The sequence below is a fragment of the Homo sapiens genome, chromosome 3 (genome assembly GCF_000001405.40).
Source record: "Homo sapiens chromosome 3, GRCh38.p14 Primary Assembly".
Lineage (NCBI taxonomy): Eukaryota > Metazoa > Chordata > Mammalia > Primates > Hominidae > Homo > Homo sapiens.
This window is the reverse complement of record NC_000003.12, coordinates 30364988-30391520: the sequence shown is the minus strand read 5'-3', so window position 1 is coordinate 30391520 and position 26533 is coordinate 30364988. Positions and strand designations below refer to the sequence as shown.

General features: G+C 37.4%; 1 long non-coding RNA gene across 6 annotated transcripts in view; it reads right to left on the bottom strand.

The window, feature by feature from the left end:
* The window catches only part of LOC101927995 (uncharacterized), a 119590-nt gene that overhangs the window by 77860 nt on the left and 15197 nt on the right, over positions 1-26533 (bottom strand). For 3 of the 6 annotated variants that reach the window (XR_001740627.2, XR_427322.4, XR_001740626.2), the window contains exons 1-2: positions 18364-18424; positions 1698-1813 (exon numbers count right to left, since the gene is read on the bottom strand). This is a non-coding gene — a long non-coding RNA (uncharacterized LOC101927995). Of the gene's footprint in view, positions 1-1473; positions 1522-1697; positions 1814-18363; positions 18425-26533 lie in introns of those variants that run through there. The other 3 variants (XR_001740628.2, XR_007095856.1, XR_427323.4) reach the window with 3 other exon arrangements.

The following is a 26533-nucleotide window of genomic DNA, read 5'->3' as shown; positions in this document are numbered from 1 at the left end:
TGACATTGGAATACCATTTAAAACTTAGAGAAAAAAATCTCTGATCTAAAATGGTAAAAATTTGAGCACAAGGTGAGGAAACACTACATGACGTTTAATTATAGAGACATTATTTAATCATTAATACCATATGCTAAGTTGAAGAAAACAGGGCAACTTCCCACAAATTTTCTGTTCAGAATTTTAGAAGCACTCAATGAGTAAACACACAAAACCAGTTCTTGTTTACATGGGAGTTAATTCATGATGTTACATTATGGGAAATATCTATTGTTGCTAGGATAGATCTACAAGGTTTCCTCTTTTCCTTCAAACGAATAATACTGTAGGTATCCCCTGGAGGGGATAGTAATGGCATGATCTTATGCGGTTGATTCCTGAGATGATGCAAAGGGTGATTAAAAAAGGCTGACAAGAATTTGGAGTTGTGGCAAATCAACAGGCCTGGCCTTGCTAATTGTACTGAGCATCACACTGAAAATTTTGCTGATTGCAGTCCTTGCCTGGGAAATGCACACCCAGTCTCCTAATTAGCAGTAACAGCATTAATAATCTTCCAAAAAATACCTTCTCCAAGCTCTTTGTTTTCTTTCAAATTTCTATAGCTATTTTTCTCACATTTTCTCTCTGGAGTTAGAGTTAGGAAACTAAATGATAACCCTTGAATGCCAATTAGATGTGAGGCACTCTGCAATACATTATTTCATTTCATTATTGTGTGGCCACAATAAAGACTACATTCCCATCTATAGATGTGGAAACTGAAGCAAAAAGTTTGAATAACTTGCAAGAGATAATAACCATTAGCAGGCATGTCCCAAAGGACCACACTGCCACATCTCCGATAAGCATTTTTAAAATTTGGGAATATGGGTATATAGTGGGTAGAAATTTCATGCCACAAACTCAGGTGTGCAAGAAGCATAACATGCTTTTGCACATAAAACAAAATTTATTATAAATTTTTCCACATAAAACAAAATTTATTATAAATACTTCATCTGGCCAGTTGGTGGGAATTTTAGCTCAATCCATTTCTTCCCATTGCCTATTCGTTGGAGTGGTGTCTCGGTTCTAATGGGCTTCCATAATAATGTAAGGCACTAAAGGAAGCATGCAGGCTGGGTCATCAGCTATCCATGCTGGCACCTACTGAGATGTCCTCATTCCTCACTATCTTTAGGTGCTGGTCTATGCAGGTCCTTTCTGAGTTCATCCCCAAAACCAGTCTTCAACCTAACAGCTAGACTCATTTGAGTCCAGCTGTCTCCCACTTAACCCAGGCCCCTGTTGGGTTTTGGGATTTTTCTCCAAATCTGGATCTCACTGTGATTGGGAAACTTGGTTTGGTCAACTATAGCCCTTCACCCTTTCCATGCTCTTCTCAGATGCAGGTACGTTTTTACCACTCCCATATCTCACTGGGCAGTGGGCAATAATAAGGCTGTCTACATCTCACCTGACTGAACACACCTCAAAGTCATTTATACTCTGGCATCTTGCCTTTCGCCTGGTGTCTACCTGGGAAAGAAAGCATAGGTTACTCCTGCACTGGAATCTCTCAAATTATCTGAGATTTCTGCTATATCTCTATACCCCAAACTGATCCCAGAAGAGGGGCAGGTTCCAGCCCAACCCGACCCATATTTCAGTAGCCCACACTGTCCCTTCAGCCTTTGTTAATGCAATCCTCTCACCTCATCAAGGAGCTTTTAGTTTTTGAAGGATGGTGTTTCCTTAGTGTTATTCTCATTAGATCCATCTTCCAATTCTACTGTAGATTTTATACATGTAACTTTTTTCTCTTGACAATCTAGAATTTTAAAAGAAAAAAGTAATTTGTACTTTGTTTATTCTGTTTCAGCATTTCCAACCCTTCCTTGGAGCAATAACTCTAGAGCTCTCTAAACATCTGCCTGAAGGGGAGAAGGGCCATGGGTAACAGGAAATACATTAGTTGGAAAGCACTTTGGTTGGTTTTTCCAACATAATATTTTACCACATTCCAACATAAAGTAATTAACCAGCAATTTCTAGAATGAAACAGTGCTTGAAATTAAAGAGAACAACAGGCATTATAATAGAGATAAAATAAAATAAAATTTTAGAGAATGACCAACACCATAATGTAAGCCTAGAGACATCAGGGGGAAGGGGAGGGGAATAAGTCCAAAATGTCAATGAAGCCCAAGAAGCTGTTAATTTTCTATCAATTAAGCATCTTCTTTGGGTCATGTTCAGTGCTATGTCCTTTTTAAAAATTAACTTTTAAGCTCTCCAAAAATCTACAAGATAGGTTTCATTATCTCCATTTTTGCATAAGGGTAAAATGTAAGCCCAGATGAAAGTGACTTGTTCAAACTTCCCCCACTCCCCATAATATGCTTCAGACCTGGAAAGATTTAGAGGAGCAGATTATTACCTGTAACAAAAATTACTGCCAAAAAAAAAGAATATAAGGGAACTTATCCTTCTCCTTTTAAGAAGCTACAATTCCAAAACGGGATGAAGACTGTAAAAGAAAGAAAATTATCAGCACACTTGATTTTTGCTTATAAATGCAAAAAGTATAAATAAAATATTAACTGAATCTAAAGGAGTATTAAAATGAATCATGAAACCAATGAGAACAAAGACACAATGCACCAGAATCTCTGGGACACATTTAAAGCAGTATGTAGAGGGAAATTTATAGCACTAAATGCCCACAAGAGAAAGTAGTAAAGATCTAAAATCAACACCCTAATATCACAATTAAAAGAACTAGAGAAGCAGGAGCAAACAAATTCAAAAGCTAGCAGAAGGCAAGAAATAACTAAGATCAGAGCAGAACTGAAGAAGATAGAGACACAAAAAAACCCTTCAAATAATCAGTGAATCCAGGAGCTGGTTTTTTGAAAAGATCAACAAAATAGACCGTTAGCAAGACTAATAAAGAAGAAAAAAGAAAAGAATCAAATAGACACAATAAAAAATGATAAAGGGGATATTACCATTGATCCCATAGAAATACAAACTACCATCGGAAAATATGATAAACCCCTCTATGCAAATAAACTAGAAAATCTAGAAGAAATGGATAAATTCCTGGACACATACACCCTCCCAAGACTAAACCAGGAAGAAGTCAAATCTCTGAATAGACCAATAATGGGTTCTGAAATTGAGGCAATAATTAATAGCCTCCCAACCAAAAAAAAAAAAGTCCAGGACCAGATGGATTCACAGCCAAATTCGACCAGAGGTACAAAGAGGAGCTGGTACCTTTCCTTCTGGAACTATTCCACTCAATAGAAAAAGAAAGAATCCTCCCTAACTCATTTTATGAGGCCAGCATCATCCTGATACCAAAACCTGGCAGAGACACAACAAAAAAGGAAAATTTTAGGCCAATATCCCTGATGAACATCGGTGCAAAAATCCTCAATAAAATCCTGGCAAACCAAATCAAGCAGCAGATAAAAAAGCTTATCCACCATGATTAAGTTGGCTTCATCCCTGGGATGCAAGGCTGGTTCAACATACACAAATCAAAACATAATCCACCACATAAACAGAACCAACAACAAAAACCACATGATTATCTCAGTAGATGCAGAAAAGGCCTTCGATAAAATTCAACAGCCCTTCATGCTAAAAACTCTCAATAAACTAGGTATTGATGGAATGTATCTCAAAATAATAAGAGCTATCTATGACAAACCCACAACCAATATCATACTGAATGGGCAAAAACTGGAAGCATTCCCTTTGAAAACTGGCACAAGGAGGCCCTCTCTCACCACTCCTATTCGACATAGTATTGGAAGTTCTGGCCAGGGCAATCAAGCAAGAGAAAGAAAAAAGAGTATTCAGTTAGGAAAAGAGGAAGTCAAATTGTCTCTGTTTGCAGATGACATGATCATATATTTAGAAAACCCCATCGTCTCAGCCCAAAATCTCCTTAAGCTGATAAGCAACTTCAGCAAAGTCTCAGGATACAAAATCAATGTGCAAAAATCACAAGCATTCTTATACACCAATAACAGACAAACAGAGAGCCAAATCATGAGTGAACTCGCATTCACAATTGCTACAAAGAGAATAAAATACCTAGGAATCCAACTTACAAGGGATGTGAAGGACCTCTTCAAGGAGAACTACAAACCACTGGTCAAGGAAATAAAAGAGGACACAAACAAATGGAAGAACATTCCATGCTCTTGGATAGAAACAATCAACATCATGAAAATGGCCATACTGCCCAAAGTAATTTATAGATTCAATGCCATCCCCATCAAGCTACCACTGACTTTCTTCACAGAATTGGAAAAAACTATTTTAATTTCATATGGAACCGAAAAAGAGCCTGCATAGCCAAGACAATCCTAAGCCAAAAGAACAAAGCTGGAAGCCTCATGCTACCTGACTTCAAACTATACTACAAGGCTACAGTAACCAAAACAGCATGGTACTTATGCCAAAACAGATATATAGACCAATGGAACAGAACAGAGTCCTCAGAAATAACACCCCACATCTACAACCATCTGATCTTTGACAAACCTGACAAAAGCAAGCAATGGGGAAAGGATACCCTATCTAATAAATGGTGCTGGGAAAACTGGCTAGCCGCATGCAGAAAGCTGAAACTGGATCCCTTCCTTACACCTTATACAAAAATTAACTCAAGATGGATTAAAGACTTAAATGTAAGACCTAAAACCATAAAAAAGTCTAGAAGAAAACCTAGGCAATACCATTCAGGACATAGGCATGGGCAACGACTTCATGACTAAAACACCAAAAGCAATGGCAACAAAAGCCAAAATAGACAAATGGGATCTAATTAAACTAAAGAGCTTCTGCACAGCAAAAGAAACTATCAGCAGAGTGAACAGGCAACCTACAGATTGGGGGAAAATTTTGCAATCTATCCATCTGACAAAGGGCTAATATCCAGAACCTACAAAGAACTTAAACAAATTTACAGAAAGAAAAAGCAAAAAACAAACAACCTCCCATCAAAAAATGGGCCAAGAATATGAACAGACACTTCTTAGAAGAAGACATCTATGCAGCCAACAAACGTATGAAAAAATGTTCATCATCACTTGTCATTACAGAAATGCAAATCAAAACCACAATGAGATACCATCTCATGCCAATTAGAATGGTGATCATTAAAAAGTCAGGAAATAACAGATGCTGGAGAGGATGTGGAAAAATAGGAATGCTTTTACTCTGTTGGTGGGAATGTAAATTAGTTCAACCATTGTGGAAGACAGTGTGGCGATTCCTCAAGGATCTAGAACTAGAAATACCATTTGACCCAGCAATCCCATTACTGGGTATATACTCAAAGGATTATAAATCATTCTACTATAAAGACACATGCACACGTATGTTTATTGCAGCACTGTTCACAATAGCAAAGTCTTGGAACCAACCCAAATGCCCATCAATGATAGACTGGATAAAGAAAATGTGGCACATATGCACCATGGAATACTATGCAGCCATAAAAAAGATGGGTTCATGTCCTTTGCAGGGACATGGATGAAACTGGAAACCATCATTCTCAGCAAAGTACCACAAAAAGAGAAAACCAAACACTGCATGTTCTCACTCATAAGTGGGAGTTGAACAATGTGAACACATGGGCACAGGGAGGGGAGCATCACACACTGGGGCCTTTTGGGGGTGGGGGGCTGGGGGAGGGATAGCATTAGGAGTAATACCTAACGTAAATGTCAAGTTGATGGGTGCAGCAAACCAACATGGCACATTATACCTATTTAACAAACCTGCATGTTTTGCACATGTATCCCAGAACTTAAAGTATAATAATTTTAAAAAAATGTATAAAATAAAATACATCATGATCAAATAGAGCTTATTCAAGGAATGGGAAGAAATTTTAACATCAGAATATCTGTGTATGTTTATCAACACGAGGATTGGACTAGGATAAAGAAAGTGAGGTATCTAAGAAGTGATATTGACAGAGGCATGCTATACACCAAAAACTTAGAGATTAGAGGATGGAGCAAGGTGGCAGAATAGAAGCCTTCACCAGTCATTCCTGTGCTGTAGGAATAAAAGCACCTTCATAAGAATAAAAAATCAGGTAAGCAATCACAGTATCTGGTTTTAACTTCTTATCTCTGAAAGAGGTACTGAAGAGGGTACCAAAGACAGTCTTCAATCACTAATGCCACCCTTCCCCCTTCCCTCCACACTGCCCCACCTCTCCAGCAGCAGCCATGTGGTGTAGAGAATCTGAGTGCTTGTGGGAGGGAGAGTACAGCAACTGTGGGGCCCTGCATAGAACTCAGGGCTGTTCTATTACAGAGGAAAGCAAAACCAGGTAGAAGTCCACCGATACCAGCCCATAGAAGGAGCATTTAAGCCAGCCCTGGCCAAAGGGGACTCACCCATCGTAGCATTTGGAACTTGAGTTTTGGCAAGCCTTGCCATGATGGGCTAAAGTGCTCTGGGGTTCTAAATTAATCTGAAAGGCTGTCTAGGCCACAAGGACTGCAATTCCTAGGCAAGTACTAGTGCTGTGCTAGGCTCAGAGCCAGTGGACATGGGGGAAACACAACCTAGTGACACACCAGCTGCGATGGCTAAGGAATTGTTTGCATCACCCCTCCCCCAAACCTGGGCAGTGCAGCTCACAGCAACAAAAGTGACTCCTTCCTTCTGCTTGAGATGAGGAGGGAGGAGGGAGTAAAGAGGACTTTGTCTTGCACCTCGGATACCAGCTCAGCCACAGTAGGATAAGGCACTGGGCAATCATAAAGCCCTTGTTCCAGGCCAGAGCTACTGGATGGCATATGTAGACACACCCTGGGCCAGAAGGGAACCTTCTGCCTTGAAGGGAAGAACCCAGTCCTGGCAGGATTTATCATTTGCTGACTAAATAGCCCTTGGGCCCTGAATAACCAGTAGCAATACCCAGGTAGTGTGCCTTAGGCTTTGGGCATACTGAGCACTCTGAGACATGCTGGCTTCAGATGAGACTCAGTACATTCTCAGCTCTGGTGGCTATTGTGAGAAACTCCTACTTAAGAAAAGCTGAGGGGAAAGCAAACGGGACTTTGTCTTGTACCTTAGGTACCAGCTCGACCACAGGTGAATAGAGAGCATCAGGTGGGCTCTTGTGGTCCCTGATTCCACACTTCAGCCCATGCATGGCATTTCTGTATCTGCCTTGGGACAGAGGGGAGTCCACTGCCCTGAAGGATGAGTCTCAGGCCTACTAGGATTCACAACAATCTGACTAAAGAGCCCTTGGGCCTTAAGTGAACATCAGTGGTAACCTGTCTGTACCTCCCATGGGTCTGTGGTTGTGGTGGCCATGGGTAGAGGCTCTTCTGCCTATGGAAAAGAGAGGAAAGAGTGGGAAGGACTTGGTCATATGGCTTGAGTGCTAGCTTAGCTGCAATAGACTAGAGCACCTGGTAGATTTCTAAGGTATTTGACTCCAATCTCTGGCTCCAAGATGGCATCTCTGGAACTTCCTGGGGCCCAAGGGAATTTGCCAACCTGAAGGAAAGGGTAGAATCCTGGCTGGCTTCACCACCTACTTACTCTGGAGCACTAGGACCTTGAGGAAACATAATCTGTAGCCAGGTAGTGGTTACAGTGGGCCTTGGGTGAGACCCAGTGCCATGCTGGCTTCAGGTCAGACCCAGTGCTGGTTTCCACAGGGATGCTTGTGTCCCCCTACCCCCAGACCCCGGTGGCTCAGCACAGAGAGAGACTGTTTGGGAGAAAGTAAAGAAAGAGAACAAGAGTCTCTGCCTGGTAATCTCAAAATTCTTCCAGGTCTTATCCAAAACCACTGTACTAGGCTAGTTTTTCATTTTTATAAAAAAATATGTGAGACTAGGTAATTTATAAAGAAACAAGGTTCAACTAGCTCACAGTTCTGCAGGCTTTACAGGAAGCAAGCTCCTAGCATCTGATCCACTTCTAAGAAGGTATCAGGAAGCTTACAATCAAGGTGGAAGTTGAAGGATTTCCACCTTGTAGTAGGCATGTTACATGGCAAAAGGAGGTGCAAGAAAGAGTGGGGCGGGGAGGTGCCACACACTCTTAAATGACCAGATCTCATGAAAACTCACTATCTTGAAGACAACACCAAGCCATGAGGGATCTGCTGCATGATCCAAACACTTCCCACCAGGCCTCACCTCCAGCCTGGGAGGGAGGAGGTGTCCTGCAGAGCCACAGGGATGGAACTGCCCAAGACCATGGAAACCAATCTCTTGCATCAGCATGACCTGGATGTGAGACATGGAGTCAAAGGAGATCATTTTGGACCTTTAAGATCTGACTGTGCTGCTGAGTTTTGAACTTGAATGGGGCCTGTAGCCCCTTTGTTTTGGCCACTTTCTCACATTTGGAACAGCTGTATTTACCCAATGCCTATAGCCCCATTGTATCTAGGAAGTAACTAACTTGCTTTAGATTTTACAGGCTCATAGGTGGAAGGGACTTGCCTTGTCTCAGATGAGGTGTTGGACTGTGGACTTTTGAGTTAATGCTGAAATGAGTTAAGACTTTGGGAGACTGTTGGGAAGGCATGATTGGTTTTGAAATGTGAGGACATGAGATTTGGGAGGGGCCGGGGGTGGAATGATGTGGCTTGGCTGTGTCCCCACCCAAATCTCATCTTGAATTCCCACATGTTGTAGGAGGGACCCAGTGGGAGGTAATTGAATCATGGGGGCACTTCTTTATCATGCTGTTCTCGTGATAGTGAATAAGACTCATAAAATCTGATAGTTTTAAAAAGAAGAGTTCCAGCCACACACGGTGGTTCACGCCTGTAATCCCAGCACTTTGAGAGGTTGAGGTGGATGGATGAAGAGGTCAGGAGTTCAAGACCAGCCTGGCCAAGATGGTGAAACCCCGTCTCTACTAAAAATACAAAAATTAGCTGGGTGTGGTGGCAGGCACCTGTAAATCTAGCTACTCGGGCAGCTGAGGCAGAGAATTGCTTGAACCTGGGAGGCAGAGGTTGCAGTGAGCCGAAATCGTGCCACTGCACTCCAGCCTGGGCGGAAAAAAAAAAAAAAAAAAGAAGAGTTCCCCTGCACAACCTCTCTCTCTTTGGCTGCCACCATGTAAGAAGTGCCTTTCACCTTCTGCCATGACTGTGAGGCCTCCTCAGCCACATGGAACTGTAAGTTCATTAAGTCTATATTTTTTCCCCAATCTCGAGTATGTCTTTATCAGCATCATGAAAACAGACTAATACAGAAGACATACATGTGGCCAGAAAGCATATGAAAAAAAGCTGAACATCACTGATCATTAGAGAAATGCAAATCAAAACCACAGTGAGATGCCATCTCACACCAATCAGAATGACAATTATTAAAAAAGTCAAAAAACAACAGATACTTTCGAGGTTATGGAGAAAAAGGAATACTTTTACCCTGTTGATGGGAGTGTAAATTAGTTCAATCATTGTGGAAGGCAAGATGGAAATTCCTCAAAGACCTAGAGGCAGAAATACCATTAGATCCAGGAATCCCATTACTGAATACATGCCCAGAGGAATACAAAGCATTCTACCATGAAGACACACACACATGAATGTTTATTGTAGCAGTATTCACAATAGTAAAGACATGGAATCAACCTAAATGCCCATCAATGATGCACTGGATAAAGAAAATGTGCTGCATATACACCACTGAATACTATGAAGCCATAAAAGGGAACAAGATCATGTTCTTTGCAAAGACATGAATGAAGCTGGAGGTCATTATCCTTAGCAAGCTAACACAGGAACAGAAAACCAAATACCACATGTTCTCACTTACTAGTGGGAGCTAAATGATGAGAACACATGAATACATGAAGGGGTGGACAACACACACTGGATCCTGTCGGAGGGTGAGGGGTGGGAAGAGAGAGAGGATCAGGAAGAATAGCTAGTAAATGGTAGTATTAATACCTAGATGATGGGATGATCTGTGTAACAAACCACCACGACACATGTTTACCTAGGTAACAAACCTGCTCATCCTGCACATGTATCCCTGAACTTAAAGTAAAATTTGGTAACACATAAAAAAAGAAATACTAAAGGGAGCTCTTCAATCAGAAAAAAAATTATGTTAAAGAGTAATAAGAAATCATCTGAATGTACAAAATTTACTAGTAATACTAAGTACACAGAAAAACATAGAATATTTTAACTCTGTAAGTATGATGTGAAAACTGTTCTTAAATAAAAAGACTAAAAAATGAACCAATCAAAAATAACTACAGCAAGTTTTTAAGGCGGAGATAGTATAGTAAGATATAAATAGAAACAATAAAAAGTTAAAAGTGGAGAACAGTTAAAATGTCGGGCTTTTATTAGTTTTCTTTTGCTTCCTTGTTTGTGTATACAATCAGTGTTGTCATTATAAGTTTAAAATAGCGAATTATAAGATAGTATTCGCAAGTGTCATGATAACCTCAAATAAAATACAAAAGCTACACAAAAATATAAAGCAATACATTAAAACATACTACCAGAGAAAATAATCTCCACTTAAAGGAAGACAGGAAGGAAAGAAAGAAAAAAAGACTAGAAAACAACCAGAAAACAAATAAAAAATTGGCAGGAGTAAGTCACTGTTTATCAATAACAACATTGAATGTAAATAGAATAAACTCTTCAATAAAAAGACATAGAGTGGCTGAGTGGATTAAAAAACAAAACCCACTGATCTGTTCTCTACAAGAAACACACTTACCCTATAGAGACACACAAAGACTGAAAATAAAGGGATGGAAAAAGATATTTCATGCCATTGGAAACCAAAAAAGAGTAGGAGAAATGACACTTATATCAGACAAAATAGATTTTAAGACAAAACTATAAGATGAGACAAAGAAGATAGTTATATAATGATAAAATGGTCAGTTCAGCAAGACAATATAACAATTGTGAATATATATGCACCCAATACTGGAGCACTCATATATATAAAGCAAATATTATTATTTCTAAAGAGAGACATAGGCTCCAGTAAAATAATAGCTGGAGACTTCAACAGCCCACTTTCAGCGTTGGACTGATCTCTAGACAGAAAATCGACAAAGAAACATTGGACTTAATCTGCACTTTAGACCGAATGGACCTAAATAGATATTTACAGAACGTTTCATCCAGGAGCTGCAGAATATACATTGTTCTCCTCAGCACATGGACCATTCTCACTGATAGACTATATGTTAAGTCACCAAAAAGTCTTAAAACATTAAAAAAATTAAAATAATTTCAAATATCTTCTCTGATCACAATGGGATAAAACTAGATATTAATAACAAGAGGAAATTTGGAAACTATATTACAAACATATGGAAATTAAACATTATATTCCTGAATGACCAGTAGGTCAATGAAGAAATTAAGAAGGAAATTGAAAAATTTTTTGAAACAAATGATAGCGAAAACACAAGATTCCAAAACCTGTAGAATACAGCAAAAGCAGTACTAAGAGGGAAGTTTATAATTATAAGCACCCATGTCAAAAAAGAAGAAAAACTTCGAATAAATAACCTAATGATGCATCTTAAAGAATTAGAAAAGTAAGAGCAAACCAAACCCCAAATTAGAAGAAAAGAAATAATAAACATCACAGAAATAATAAAGACAAATGAAATTGAAATGAAGAAAACAATATAAAATATCAACAAAACAAAGTTTTTTTAAAAAAAGATAAGCAAAATTGACAAACTTCTAGCCTAAGTAACTAAGAAAAAAAGGGAGAAGACTCAAATAAATAAAATTAGAGATGAAAAAGGAAACATTACAATTGATACCAAAGAAATTCAAAGGATTATTACTGGCTACTTTAAGCCAATACATTGGAAAATCTAGAAAAAATTGACAAATTCCTAGACATATAAAACCTACCAAGATTGAACCATGAAGAAATTGAAACCCTGAATAGACCAATAACAAGTAATGAGATTGAAGCATCATAAAAAGTCTCCAAGTAAAGAAAAGCCCAGGACCCTATGGCTTCTCTGCTGAATTCTACTGAGCATTTAAAGAATAAATATATACCAATCCTACTCAAACTATTTCAAAAAATAGATGAGGACGGAATACTTCCAACCTCATTCTATGAGGCTACATTACCCTGATACCAAAATGTGACAAAGACACATCAAAAAAGGAGAAAACTACAGGCCAATATCACTGATTAATGTTGATGAAAAAGTCCTCAACAAAATACTAGCAAACTGACTTCAACAGCACATTAAAAAGATCATTCACCATGGGCAAGTGAGATTAACCCAGGGATGCAAGAATGGTTCAACATACACAAATCAATCAATGTGATACATTGTATCAACAGAATGGAGGGCAAAAAACATATGATCATTTCAGTTGATACCGAAAAAGCATTTGATAAAATTCAACATCCCTTCATGGTAAAAAGCCTTTAAAAAACTGGGGATAGAAGGAACATACCTCAACATAATAAAAGTCATATATGACAAACCCATAGCTGGTATCATACTAATGAGGAAAAACTGAAAGCCTTTCCTCTAAGATCTGGAGTATGACAGGGATTCTCACTGTCACCACTGTTATTTAACATAATATTGGAAGTCCTAGCTAGAGCAATCAGGAGAGAGAAAGAAATAAAAAATATTCAAATTTGAAAGGAAGAACTCAAATTATCTTTGTTTGCAGATGATATGATCTTATATTTTGAAAAACCTGCAGACTCCACAAGAAAACTATTAGAATTCCTAAGTTCAAAAGTTATAGAATACAAAATTAACATACAAAATCAATAGCATTTCTATATGCCAACAGCAAAGAATCTGAACAGTAATCCCATTTATGATAGTTACAAATAAAATAAAATACATAGGAATTAACTTAACCAAAGAAGTGAAAAATCTCTACAATGGCAACTATAAAACATTGATGAAAGAAATTGAAGAGGACACAGAAAAAAAGAGAAAAATATTCCATGTTCATGAATTGAAAGAATGAATATTGTTAAAATGTCCATACTACCCAAAGAAATCTACAGATTCAATGCAATCTCTATGAAAATACCAATGGCATTCTTCACAGAAATAGAAATAACAATGCTAAAATTTATATGGAACCAAAAAAGACCCAGAATAGCCAAAGCTATCCTGAGGAGAAAGAATAAAACTAGAGGAATCGCATTACCTGACTTCAAGTTGTACTACAGAAGAATAGTAACCAAAACATCATGTTACTGGCATAAAAACAGACATATTGACCAATGAAACAGAATAGAGAACCCAGAAACAAATTCATATATCTATAGTGAACTCATTTTCCACAAAGTTGCCAAGAACATACACTGAGGGAAAGATAGTCTTTTCAATAAAGATAGTCTTTCCCAGTTGCTGGGAAAACTGGATAGCCATATGCAGAATAATGAAACTGGATCCTATCTCTCACCATATACAAAAATAAAATCAAAATTGACTGAAGACTTAAATCTAAGTCTTCAATCTGTGAAACTACTACAAGAAAACTTTGGGAGAAAATCTCCAGGACATTGTTCTGGGCAAAGATTTCTTGAGTGATACCCCATAAGCACAGCACTATTTACAGTAATCAAGATTTGGAAGCAACCTAAGTGTCCATCAACAGATGAATGGGTAAAGAAAATGTGGTACACATACGTAATGGATTACTATTCAGCCATAAAAAGAATGGGATCCTGTCATTTGAAACAACATGGATAGAACTGAAGATAATTATGTTAGGTGAAATAAGGCAGGCACAGAAAGATAAACTTTGCACGTTCTCACTTATTTGTGGGAGCTAAAATTTAAAACAATTGAACTTGTGGAGACAGAGAGTAGAAAAATGGTAACCAGAGGCTGGGATGGGTAGCTGGGGGTTGAGGGGGAGGTGGGGATGGTTAATGGGTACCAAAAAAAAATAGAAAGAATGAATAAGACATACTATTTTATAGCATGATATGGTGACTATAATATTATGCTATAAGTTATTATCAATAATAACTTAATTGTATATTTTTAAATAACTTAAAGGATATAATTGGACTGTTTGTAACTCAAAGCATAAATGCTTGAAGGGATGGATACCCCATTCTCCATGATGTGCTTATTTTTTTCTCTTTTAAGTGCCTGATATTCCATGAAACTATAGAATGTCTAGAATAAAAGGTGAAGCCATACTCTTAATAAATATGTTTATGCTCAAGTCTAAGCCAATACATGCAGTAAACAGTTTGAAAGGAACATAATTAACATTCTTGGTTTGATGTCAAGGCCTGAGGCATCATCCTGGGATGAAAAATAGTGTATGCGGCAAGGTCTTTATGAAAGTACTTATGAAAAGTTGAACAGAATAAGAAGTAAACCAAAAGAAAGGACTAAACAACATTTCACTGGCTAGTAAGATTTGAAAATTAATTCACAGTCAACACAATTCCATGCAATTTGCTGTATACTGAACATCTGGATAATGATGTTAATATATATCCTGCTTTTTTATACGCGTTAACCAAATAGCCTAACAAATGCAAAGTTATAACTGAAGTATTTACAGCCACAAATGAGCATTTCATGTTAAACAAAACAAAACAAACCCTCATGTTATTTAGAGGCAATCAAAGCCTGGTCCTGGTTCTGCAATACAGAAGGTGAAACACCCCAGGTGTGGCTTACTCCCTTCCATTTAGAGAGAAAATAAAAACTTAAAAAATAATTTTGAAATAAATTGACCATCTTTTCTTCTCACATGTAATCCATCAACCCTGCTTACTTGTATTTACAAATAGTTTTACATTTTTTCAAAGCCAAAATCTATTTTAATATCAGTTTGGGACATACATGAACAGTTCCTAGCAATTCTATGTTTTTGTTCTCCTAATAAGTTTTTTTTATTCGTTTGTCAAAAAAGAGAAAGGATTACAACAAAATAGATATAAGCATGGATGGTCTCACTGAAATTGAATTAATTAATTATCTGGAAAAATATACTGAAGATAAACATTCAAAAAGCTTGCTGCAATCAAAACCAAAAAGGTGGAATCCTCACCCTCCATAGATCCATTCCATTAGAAGACATTAACAGGGAATTTAAACATTTTTACTAAACGATAGGAGAGGCACAGATATGTACCTAGATGATGAAATGTTTATGTAAGTAGTTAGACAGTTAAACCCAAATACTGGTTTATTTCACAAAATCCAGTAAAACCAACTCTTACAATTAACATAAACTAAAATTTGGAAATGTATGAGTTGTTGCCATCCACACATGTAATTTTAAGACAAGTCCCTTTGTAGTCTTTGGATAGTCTAAGATAAGGTGATTGGTTTATTTCTTGTGTCTTATAATGAATATTATTGCCAGAAAAAGAAAGATGAATCCAATACTGAGTGGTATATACTCTCTGTAGTACAGAATTTTAAGCCAATTTCCAAAAGAAAAAATTCCTTAGCAAATAATGCAAATATTTCCTCCATCTTTTTTCCCATCATACCTGTAAGTAAAAAACCATAATTTGATTGTTAATCCCAGCATAGTGATATGCAGTGAGGCTTTTTTCTCATTGGGGAAATGAATAGTAATTTTGATAATTAGACTTGGACTTTACTCTAGCTTGGCTCTTCTTAGCTGTGTGAACTTGACCAATACGCTACACTTTCTATGCGCCTCGGTTTCCTTCTCTGTACAATGCCCACCTCATAGGACATTTGTGAAGAGTGATTAAAATCATGCTTGTGGAAGGCTCAGACTGACAATGTGTGAACTGAATCCTGCCTATAGATATGGTTTGTTAGGCTTATACAAAGTTAAAAATTTTTAAGTTCATTGACAATTTTAATTTTCTAAATTTAATCAGAAAATTAGGTAATTCAGATTTTGGATTTTTTGGTTTTAAATCTAAACACTGAAAACTTACAAGCTGAAACTGAATTAACTGGCTTACACTTGTTTCTCACTACTGCCTTTACTCTTCACCCATCTTGCCCAGTAGATGTTTGTGTGCTTGTAATTCCCATTATTTAGAAAATATTTAATTGATTACACCAGTAATATCCCGCTAAGGTAAATGTTATTAGACAAAGTGATCTTGAGCACAAATTAAAACTCAGTGCTCATTAACAGGGAACTTAAACATTTTTAATAAATGTTAGAAGAGGGACAGATACGTACCTAGATGATGAAATGTTTATATAAGTAGTTAGACAGTTAAACCCATATACTGGTTTATTTCACAGAATCCAGTAAAACTGTCTCTTACAATTAACATAAAGTAAAATTTGTTCATGTATGATTTGTTGCTATCCACAGATGTGACGAACCATTCCTCAGGAAAAAAAAAGTTATCTATGTGAGATGCAAATGATCAGCCAAATGATGGTGACTAGTAAGTAGTTGTAGCAAGCAACAAGGACTTATCCCCTGAAAAACTTGAGTGGGCATGTAGGCTCTAAGTGGAGTTAAACAGAGTTCAGCTAATGAAAGCTCAGAGTCCTGATTCTTCTCAACAGGTTACCCAAATTTTCTTCGCAGTCATTTAAAGTTGCTGAACACAGTTTGATGAATTTTTAGGTCAGTATTTTTCAAACAATTTTCAAAGTGTATTTTTCAACATCCCCAGTCATCCCAGAGGTCTATCTATATTCCTATTTTCTCCCCAAACCTTAACTAAAGTATAGCATTATATACAAAAGTACAAAATTAAGTGTATTACTTATTGCATTTCCACAAGTTGAACATACTGTTATAAACAGCACCCAGATCAAAAACCAGATTATTCGCACTCCAGAATCCCTGCCACTCCTGTGTTCCCTCCAGACACTACCCATTTGCCCTGTACAAGGGAAACAGCTGTCAGAACTTCTAATACCCTAAATTACTTTTGCTTGTTCTTAAACTTCATAAAAATGAGACCAAAAGGCACAATTCATAAAAATATGTGCCTTTTATGTGTGGTTCCCTCCCCATATCATTATATTTGTAAGATTCAGTGTCATTTTCAAATGTAGTTGTGTTGTAAGTCTATTCACATTGCAGAATTGTATTTCACTGTGTAAAAAACCCACAATTTACCCATTCTACTGTTTCCCATATGGGGATTTTATAGTGTTCCTGTAAATATTCTTGTGCTTTTTGGGGGGTGCACACATGAGTGAATATATGTTGGGGTTCCTGTATTCCCAAGGTTCACTCTATGAGGTTTCTCGTAAACTTAGAGTTGTGTAGACCCCTGAATCCAATTACAGGGGCTGTCCTCAAATCCTGTTTAAGGCAGAGGTCACCTTGGGTTTCAATTATGCTCTAATTATGCTCCTGCTCTCTGACTCCTCCACCTCTCCTGAACTTGACCTGTCACTGTCTTGATCTTGGATTTCTAAACCTGATTTTCTATCTGCTTCCTGGCTTTGATGCACTGATGACACTTCTTGGATCTAGAAGTGATAGATAACAAAGACGGTTTACTGCGTGAGTTTTGCTTCAGGAGGCTTTTGTTAAAGGCACATATTAGAGCATCAGTGAGTATCAAGTTGATCTTAAATAAACATTGTTGGCCAAAATGATTTTTTTCTGTGTGTAAATAGTGCAAAAAAATGAGAAAAGAACATAACATTGAAGTAGCATGTGGCCACATGCAGAAGGAAAAATAGAGATTTACACAGCTAATACCCAACGGCTCATTCCAACTTCCTTGCCCCTTTTGTACAAAGATTTAAGAATTTGTATCTACCATCTTAAAGCCATACACAAGCAGGTAGACAATAATAAACAAAAAAGCCAACATGGTTGAACCTGACTTCATTCACTCTGCTTTCTTGGCTTGGAAAACCCTTCCCTTGTTTGCTTCACGCCATTTTCATCTGTCACTCTCCACTTCGATGTCACCAACTCCAGGAAGGCTTCTGGACTCTCCAAGCATGGATAGGTTGTTTGCTCATTTGTAAGTCATATAGTTGTGTATTTTTGTCAGTTCAGTGGAGCATATCTTCCACCAGACCCTGTGGGGCAGGCTAGTCCATGGGTTCTGCCATCAAGTTTGGGTCTGTTTTGTTCACTGTCCCACCTTTCAACACTCAATTTAGAGTTTGGAATGTAGGAGCTGCTCCAGAAATGCTTGATAAATATGAGCATGAAGCCAGGGTATTACCCTCTTTCATCAACTAAAGACATGCGATAAGGAGAAAATAGACGTTGTATTTGAGAACAGTAGGAGACTGTTAGAAAAAATAAAGGAATGGAAATACAGATTTTTAGAAAAGAATAAATGAGAACAACTAAAAAGAAAGCAGTTAGTGTTATTAGCTACTTTAACATTCAGTTTTCCATTAAGTAAAACCAGTCACCTTGCTCGGGGACATTCTGCTTCCTCCAGTTGCTGCCACTCCACACAGTTCTTCTGGTTCTGAGGAACAATCCAGAGAGAGGCTCTAATCTTGCTGAGCCAGCCACTCCTTTCTCTCTCATGACAGAGATAACACACTTCCCACAGCTCCACGGTGTGCTGAATCCTGGAGAGAGACCTCCTCCAGGCACAGGGCATCCTTCCTGTCATCCCAGGGATGCTATTTTCTGTTCCTAGAGCTCTGACGCTTAAAAATGTGCTTTGGATCTCAAGCAAGTCAGTTTGAAAATTAGGTTTAAATGTAACCACACTAACTTCTAAAAATAGAATTCATCTACAGCTGGACAATATTGAAATGAGTAAAAAGAGTAAGAAACTTGAGGATCAAGAGAAAATAATGGTGGGGGCACCTCAAATTATAGAACTGATATCTGGGCTTAGCCTTTGTTATTTAGTTGGTAACTTGACCTAAGCATTTACATTCTCAGAGTCCCATTTGCAGGTTAGGGTAAGGGTATGTTTCCCGGTGCCTCAAAGCCCCATTTAGAGATCCCTGATCTCAATTGTTTTGAAACCATTACAACTTCCTTTTGAACCTCAATTTTAAAAGGTACACAAAATAGTTAGAAAGAATGAATAGACCTAATCTTTGATAGCACAATAGTCAATAACTTTTTTAAATAACTTAAAGAGTGTAATTGGATTGTTTGTAACTCAAAGGATAAATGCTTGAGGGGGTGGATACCCCATTGTCCATGATGTGCTTATTTCACATTCCATGCCTGTATCAAAACATCTCAGATACCTCATAAATATATACACCTACCCACAAAAATCAAAAATTAAACAAAAATAATTGTATCCCCTAGGAATTGAATTAATAGAAGACTTGGTGTTTGAATTTGATAAAAGTTAAATTCAGGACTTCGTGGCAGTTTTTAAGTGTTCATCAATTTTTTCTGACTCTTTTCCCTTCAGAATTAGAATCCATGTTTCCTCCCCTTAAATCTGGCAGGCAATGACTACCTCAACCAATGGAGCAGGGTTTTTCAACCTCAGCACTATTGACATACTGGGCTACAAAATTCTTATTGTGCATTATAGAATACTTAACAGCATCATTGAGCTCGACTTACTAAATGCCAGTAGCTCCCACCACCTTCAGTTGTACAAACTAAAAATGTATTCAGATACTGCCAAACATTCTTGAGGGTGGTTCCATGCATCCCAAAGGGGGAAGATGGGAAAATAAAATTGCCCCTCGTTGAGAACCACTGCAACCGAGAATGGCGGAAATGAGGTTACATGACTTCTGAAGCTAGCTATAAAAGTCACACAACATTCTCTTGATTTTCTTTGGATACTCACTCTGAGAGACACCACCACTCTGAAAATCTAACGACTCTGAAACTGCCCTGCTAGGGAGGCCATATATACACATTCTGAGTAACAACTGCTGAACCTGGGTGCCAGCCCCAGCTGAGTCTTTTCCAGATTCTTGATCCATAAAATCTGTGAGATAATAAAAATTGTTTTACCCTGCTAAATTCAGGATGATGTTACAGTGGTAATGCTTTCCTTGGTAATGTTTTATTGTTTTCAATGGTAATTGAAACATAATCATTGGGAAATTGGAAGAATATAGTTTACTTACGAAACAGGTTTTACTTGATTATACGTGTAGCTTATCAAATGATTAGCAGATACACAGGCGCCCACAGAATAAATTCTTTACACTCAGTTATATGTGCTTGTGGTATGCTGAGAAAATAAGAGCTGGTGTCTTAAACTCGTTCTAGTCCTTGTTGTTTTTTTTTTCTCAAGAGAAAATATTTTGAAGATGTAAGAGTTAAAGAAAACATCTGGTTTATGGGAAAATTATAAGAACACGCTTTCCCCTACGACCTTCCCACCACTCCCACAGTGGCACATTAGCAGATTCTCAGACCTTAGCAACAAAATCAATAACAACAGGCTAACATAATTACTCTGTAGAGAGGGCAGATTGTGTCGGTTATTACTTTATTAAGCAAAAACAACATGTGTGAAAGAACAGCATCCTGCAAAGACGGAAGAATTGGGAGAATGCAGGAAAGAGGGCAAGGCAGCTCATAAATATGCTGAACTGAAGAAATCAGGATCACACCCCAGAATGGCAGGAAAATGAATGTTTACTTTTTCTGGCTGATTATTTGCTTAGGGATACCTCAGCATTTCTAAAAGATAAATGCCTTGGCTGTGGTTCTATCAGTCTGCTTTATTTAATTTCACAAAAGCGAATGCTCAAATGTTAAAATATTTGTTCTCTTCTCACTTGTGGTTTACTTCATTTTCTACTCAAAGTGGAATGACCCTTCAAGGTAATGTTTGAAGCATATGAATTACTTGGTGTTCATCTGGCACTGGTTCTGTGATAAGTTCTTGGCATATTTTCATTGTTTTACAAAACACCTCTGGGAGGTGTTTGAAGTAAAGTGATTTGTTCCCATTCATCTTGCTCAAGGAGGTCAAGATAAAACAAAGATTTAGAACCTCAAATCTTCCACACAGCCCATGTTTTTCCTCTGGCTCTTCACCACTTGGGGTAAAAAGAAGCATCTCATGTTGGAAGTAGGCTGCTTGTTTTCCTGTTTACCCTCAGATCGATTTCCTGGTCATTCCCTTCTTTACCCAGTACCACAGAGGGCAGATCCACCACCTGGATTTCCCAGGTTCCCCTGCCATCTGCTTCTGACTCTGCTCAACCAACAGGAGACACTGGAACGAGGTTGAGGGGTGGAAGATGGAAGAAGCAGCCAGAGAATTTCTTCCCCTCTCTATTCTTCCTCAGGGTAGCATTTCCTCCATGGTCCCAACTGTTGCCAGGTAACTCCAGCCATGGATCAAGTTCCAGTCTAGCTCTGCAACCACTGTCTCTTCTTTTTGTCCTTTCTTAGGGTTAGTAACAGCTAATATTCCAAATTTTGAATTTCGTCTAATGAACAATATTACATAAACTCTTGTTTTCCTAACTGGACTGTAACACAGGGAAATCTAGCTCCAACTGAAGCCCAACTTGAGATCTAGATATTGTATGTTACATTTTAATGAAATATAAAAAGCATCGAAATCTTTATATTATTTCATAGTATATTGATTGACTTTACAGTTTAGGTCAGAAAGTTTTAGAGTAACATAATCCTCTGATATGTTTCCTATGTATCTTAAATAAACTTTATTGGGGTATAATTTACATATACTAAAATGCATTAAAGACATCATCCTTCACATTTCTTTTTTTGAAAAGTCTTTCAAATGTTTTGCCCAGTTTTCATTGGATTGTTTATCGAAAAATCACTCCTGTACAGTTATGGTTTCTGGTTCTGCATGTAAGGAGCTTGAAAATTGCTACTCCCTCCTTACAACAAGTAAAAAGATGAACAGACTGAAAAATCAGCAACTCTTCTTAGATCCATAAGAAAAATGAAAACAGAGGGTAAGCCATTGCCCCCCAGATTACAGAGGCAGACAAGTGAATAGAGGAGCCTCAACTTCCTGGAGCAGAGACTCATAAGTGGAACTACAATGGGAGCTGGTGCCAGGGTAGGGAGACCTGAACTGTAATTGATGAATTTCTGGAGGCTCATTGTAGACCAATCTGAGAGTTAATAACTTCAGAGCACCCAGTCATTGCTAGCCCCCCTCACTTTTGTGAGTTTTACCATGTTTTTACAGTAAATATCAGAGAAAAAGTCACTTATGCTTCTGGCATGGAGAGGGAAAAAGGAACCATTTCAGGGTATGCCACAGCACTCTGTTTTTAACAATGCTTGCCCTCAGGAGAAGCTAATTAACCAGAGTGTAACCTGTTGGAGTTTTATCAAGCCTAACTGAGTTGGGGGAATGGAGGTAGCCAACTCCATCTGGCTTTGGTGAATTCTACCAAACACTTAAGGAAGAAATTATAGCAATTATGCAATATCTTTCAGAGGATAGAACTAGATGGAGTACTTCAATGAGATGACTCATTCAATGAGGCCAGCATTCCCCTAAATTCAAAACCAGGCAAAGACATTACAGGAAGCTGGACCAATATCTCCCATAAACATAGATGCAAAAATCCTCAACAAAGTACTAGCAAGTTCAATCCAACAATGGACAAAAATAATTATACACCATGTAAAAGTGGGATTTACCCCAGGCTTGTAAGGCAGGTTCAATATTTAAACATCAAGTAATGTAATCCATTACATCAAGAGGCTAAAAAAGAAAGGTCACATAATCTTGTCAACAGATGCAGAAAAAGACATTTGATGGAATTCGACAGTCGTTCATGAGAAAAACTCAATAAACTAGGAAGTAATGGGAACTTCCTTGGCCTGATAAAGAATATCTACAAAAAAAGTACCACTAATGTTATACTTAATGGTGAGAAGCTAGAAGCTTTCACACTAAGATTAAAAACAAGCCAAGAATGTCCTTTTCTGCCACTCCTTTTTCAACATTGCATTGGAAGTCCTAGCTAATAAAATAAAACAAGAAACAGAAATAAAAAGGGTATTGATTGGGAAGAAAGAAATAAAACTTTGCTTTTAGATAACATGATTGTCTAGGTAGAAAATATAAAGGAATCACCAAAATCTCCTTGAATTAATACTCAATCATAGAAAACTTGCAAGACACAAAGTTAATATACAAAAATTAAACAGTTTTCTATATTCTAGTAATGAACAAGTGGAACTTGCAATTAAAAGCATAGTACCCTTTACATTAACACCCCCCAAAAAGATAAATTCTTATGTATAAATCTGACAATATATGTACAAAATCTATACTAGAAAAAATTTAGAAACTCTGATGAAATAAATCAAAGAACAAAATAAGTGAAGAGTCATTTTATGTCCATCTTTGGGAAGAGTCAATATTTTCAAGATATCTGTTCTTCCCAACCTGATCTGTAGACTAAATATCATCCCAATAAAAAATCCAGCAAGTTATTTTGTGATAGAGACAAACTGATTCTAAAGTTTATACAAAGAGGAAAAAGATATAGAATAGTCAATGAAATATTGAAGGAGAAGAACAAAGTTGAAGAACTGATACTACTCAACTTCAAGACATACTGTAAACCCACAGTAATAAGGACAGAATGGTACTGGAAAAAAAATTAATAATAATAACAAAAACAAAAACAGAAAAAAACAACCTGACAAATGGATCGTGGATTAGTGGCAGCAGAAAATAAAGCCCAGAAATAGACCTACATAAACAATCAACTGATCTATTAACAAAAGAGCAAAGGCAATAAATATAGCAAAGAAAGCAGTCTTTTCAACAAATGGTGCTGGAACAACTGAGCACGTATATGAAAAAAAAATCTAGATGTAGATCTTACACATTTCACAAAAATAACTCAAATGGATCATAGACTTAAATTAAAAATACAAAACTATAAAACTACTGGAAGATAACATGGGAGAAAAATCTACATTACCTTAGGTATGGTGATGCCCTTTTAGATACAAAGAGATGACCCATGAAAGAAACAATCGATAAGCTGGAATTCATTACAATTAAAAACTTCTGTGAAAGACAATGTCAAAAGAATGAGAATGCAAGCCAGAAACTCAGAGAAAATAATTGCAAAGCACATATCTGATAAAGAACTGTCATTTCAAATATACAAAGAACTCTTAAATCTCAGCAGAAAACAACCCAATTTTAAAATGGGCCAAAGGCCTTAATAGATACCTCAACAAAGAATATATCCAATGGCAAAGAAGCATGTACAAAGAGACTGCACATCATATGTTAGCAGGAAAATATGAATGAAAACAAGGTATCACTACATACCTATTAGAATGGCCAAAATCTGGAACATAGACTATACCAAATATGAGTGAGAATATGGAGCAACAGGAATTCTCATCTGTTGCTGATGGGATTGCAAAATCATATAGCCACTTTGGAAGACAGTTTGGTGGTTCCTTATAAAACTAAGCATATTTATACATATCATACAATCCAACAATCATGCTCCTTGATATTTATTCAAAGGAGTTAAAAACTTATGGCCACCCAAAAACCTGCATATGAATATTTGTAGCAGCTTCTCCCAGCTCCCACCATAATTGCTCAAACTTAAAGCAGCCAAGATGTCCTTCAGTAGGTGAATGGATAAATAAAAACTGTGGTACATTCAGACAATAAAATATTATTCAGTACTTAAAGAAAATGAGCTATCAAGTCATGAAAAGACATGGAAGAAAATTAAATGCTTATTACTAGGTGAAAGAAACCAATCTGAAAAGGCTACATATTGTATGATTACAACCATATGACATTCTGGAAAAGGCAAAACTATGGAGACAGTAAAAGTTCAGTGGTTGCCAGGGGTTTAGGGTAGAGGGGATAAATAAGCAGAGCACAGAGGATTTTTAGGGCCATGAGAATACTCTATATGTGTAATGATGGATATGTGTCATTATTTGTCTGGCAAAATCCATAGAATATACAACAAGAGTGAACTCTAACGTAAACTACTGGCTTTGAGTGCCAATGATATGCCAGTGTGGGTTCATCAGTCGTAACAATTATATCACTCTGGCGAGGGATGATAATAAAGGGGAGGCAATGTATTTGTGGGGACAAGGGGTAAATGGGAAATCTCTTTCCCTTCCTCTGGATTTTGCTGTAAAACTAAAACTGCTCTAAAAAATAAAGTGCTTTTAAAAAAGAAAACTTTCTTAGTCTACATAAAATATCTTTGTCAGAAATATGACAGATATAAATATTGTGACTATTTTTCCCAGATCTAAGCTTGCATTTTAATTATCTTTTGAAGTCCAAAAGTTCTTCATTTTTACAAAGTCCAAATTATCATTTATTATTTTTTTATATTCCATGCTTTGTGCATCTTCACAAAGATTTTTTTAAAGTTTTTTCAAGATTGTTTTGACAAAGGACCTTTGCATTTTCAATACATTTTATTTTTTTATTTTTTATTTTTATTTATTTTTTAATTATTATTATACTTTAAGTTTTACGGTACATGTGCACGATGTGCAGGTTAGTTACATATGTATACATGTGCCATGCTGGTGCGCTGCACCCACTAACTCGTCATCTAGCATTAGGTGTATCTCCCAATGCTATCCCTCCCCCCTTCCCCCACCCCACAGCAGTCCCCAGAGTGTGATGTTCCCCTTCCTGTGTCCATGTGTTCTCATTGTTCAATTCCCACCTATGAGTGAGAATATGCGGTGTTTGGTTTTTTGTCCTTGCGATAGTTTACTGAGAATGATGATTTCCAGTTTCATCCATGTCCCTACAAAGGACATGAACTCATCATTTTTTATGGCTGCATAGTATTCCATGGTATATATGTGCCACATTTTCTTAATCCAGTCTATCATTGTTGGACATTTGGGTTGGTTCCAAGTCTTTGCTATTGTGAATTAGTGCCACAATAAACATACTTGTGCATGTGTCTTTATAGCAGCATGATTTATAGTCCTTTGGGTATATATCCAGTAATGGGATGGCTGGGTCAAATGGTATTTCTAGTTCTAGATTCCTGAGGAATCGCCACACTGACTTCCACAAGGGTTGAACTAGTTTACAGTCCCACCAACAATGTAAAAGTGTTCCTATTTCTCCACATCCTCTCCAGCACCTGTTGTTTCCTGACTTTTTAATGATTGCCATTCTAACTGATGTGAGTTGGTATCTCATTGTGGTTTTGATTTGCATTTCTCTGATGGCCAGTGATGGTGAGCATTTTTTCATGTGTTTTTTGGCTGCATAAATGTCTTCTTTTGAGAAGTGTCTGTTCATGTCCTTCGCAAGGAAATAAAAGAGGATACAAACAAATGGAAGAATATTCCATGCTCATGGGTAGGAAGACTCAATATCGTGAAAATGGCCATACTACCCAAGGTAATTTACAGATTCAATGCCATCCCCATCAAGCTACCAATGACTTTCTTCACAGAATTGGAGAAAACTACTTTAAAGTTCATATGGAACCAAAAAAGAGCCCGCATTGCCAAGTCAATCCTAAGCCAAAAGAACAAAGCCGGAGGCATCACACTACCTGACTTCAAACTATACTACAAGGCTACAGTAACCAAAACAGCATGGTACTGGTACCAAAACAGAGATATAGATCAATGGAACAGAACAGAGCCCTC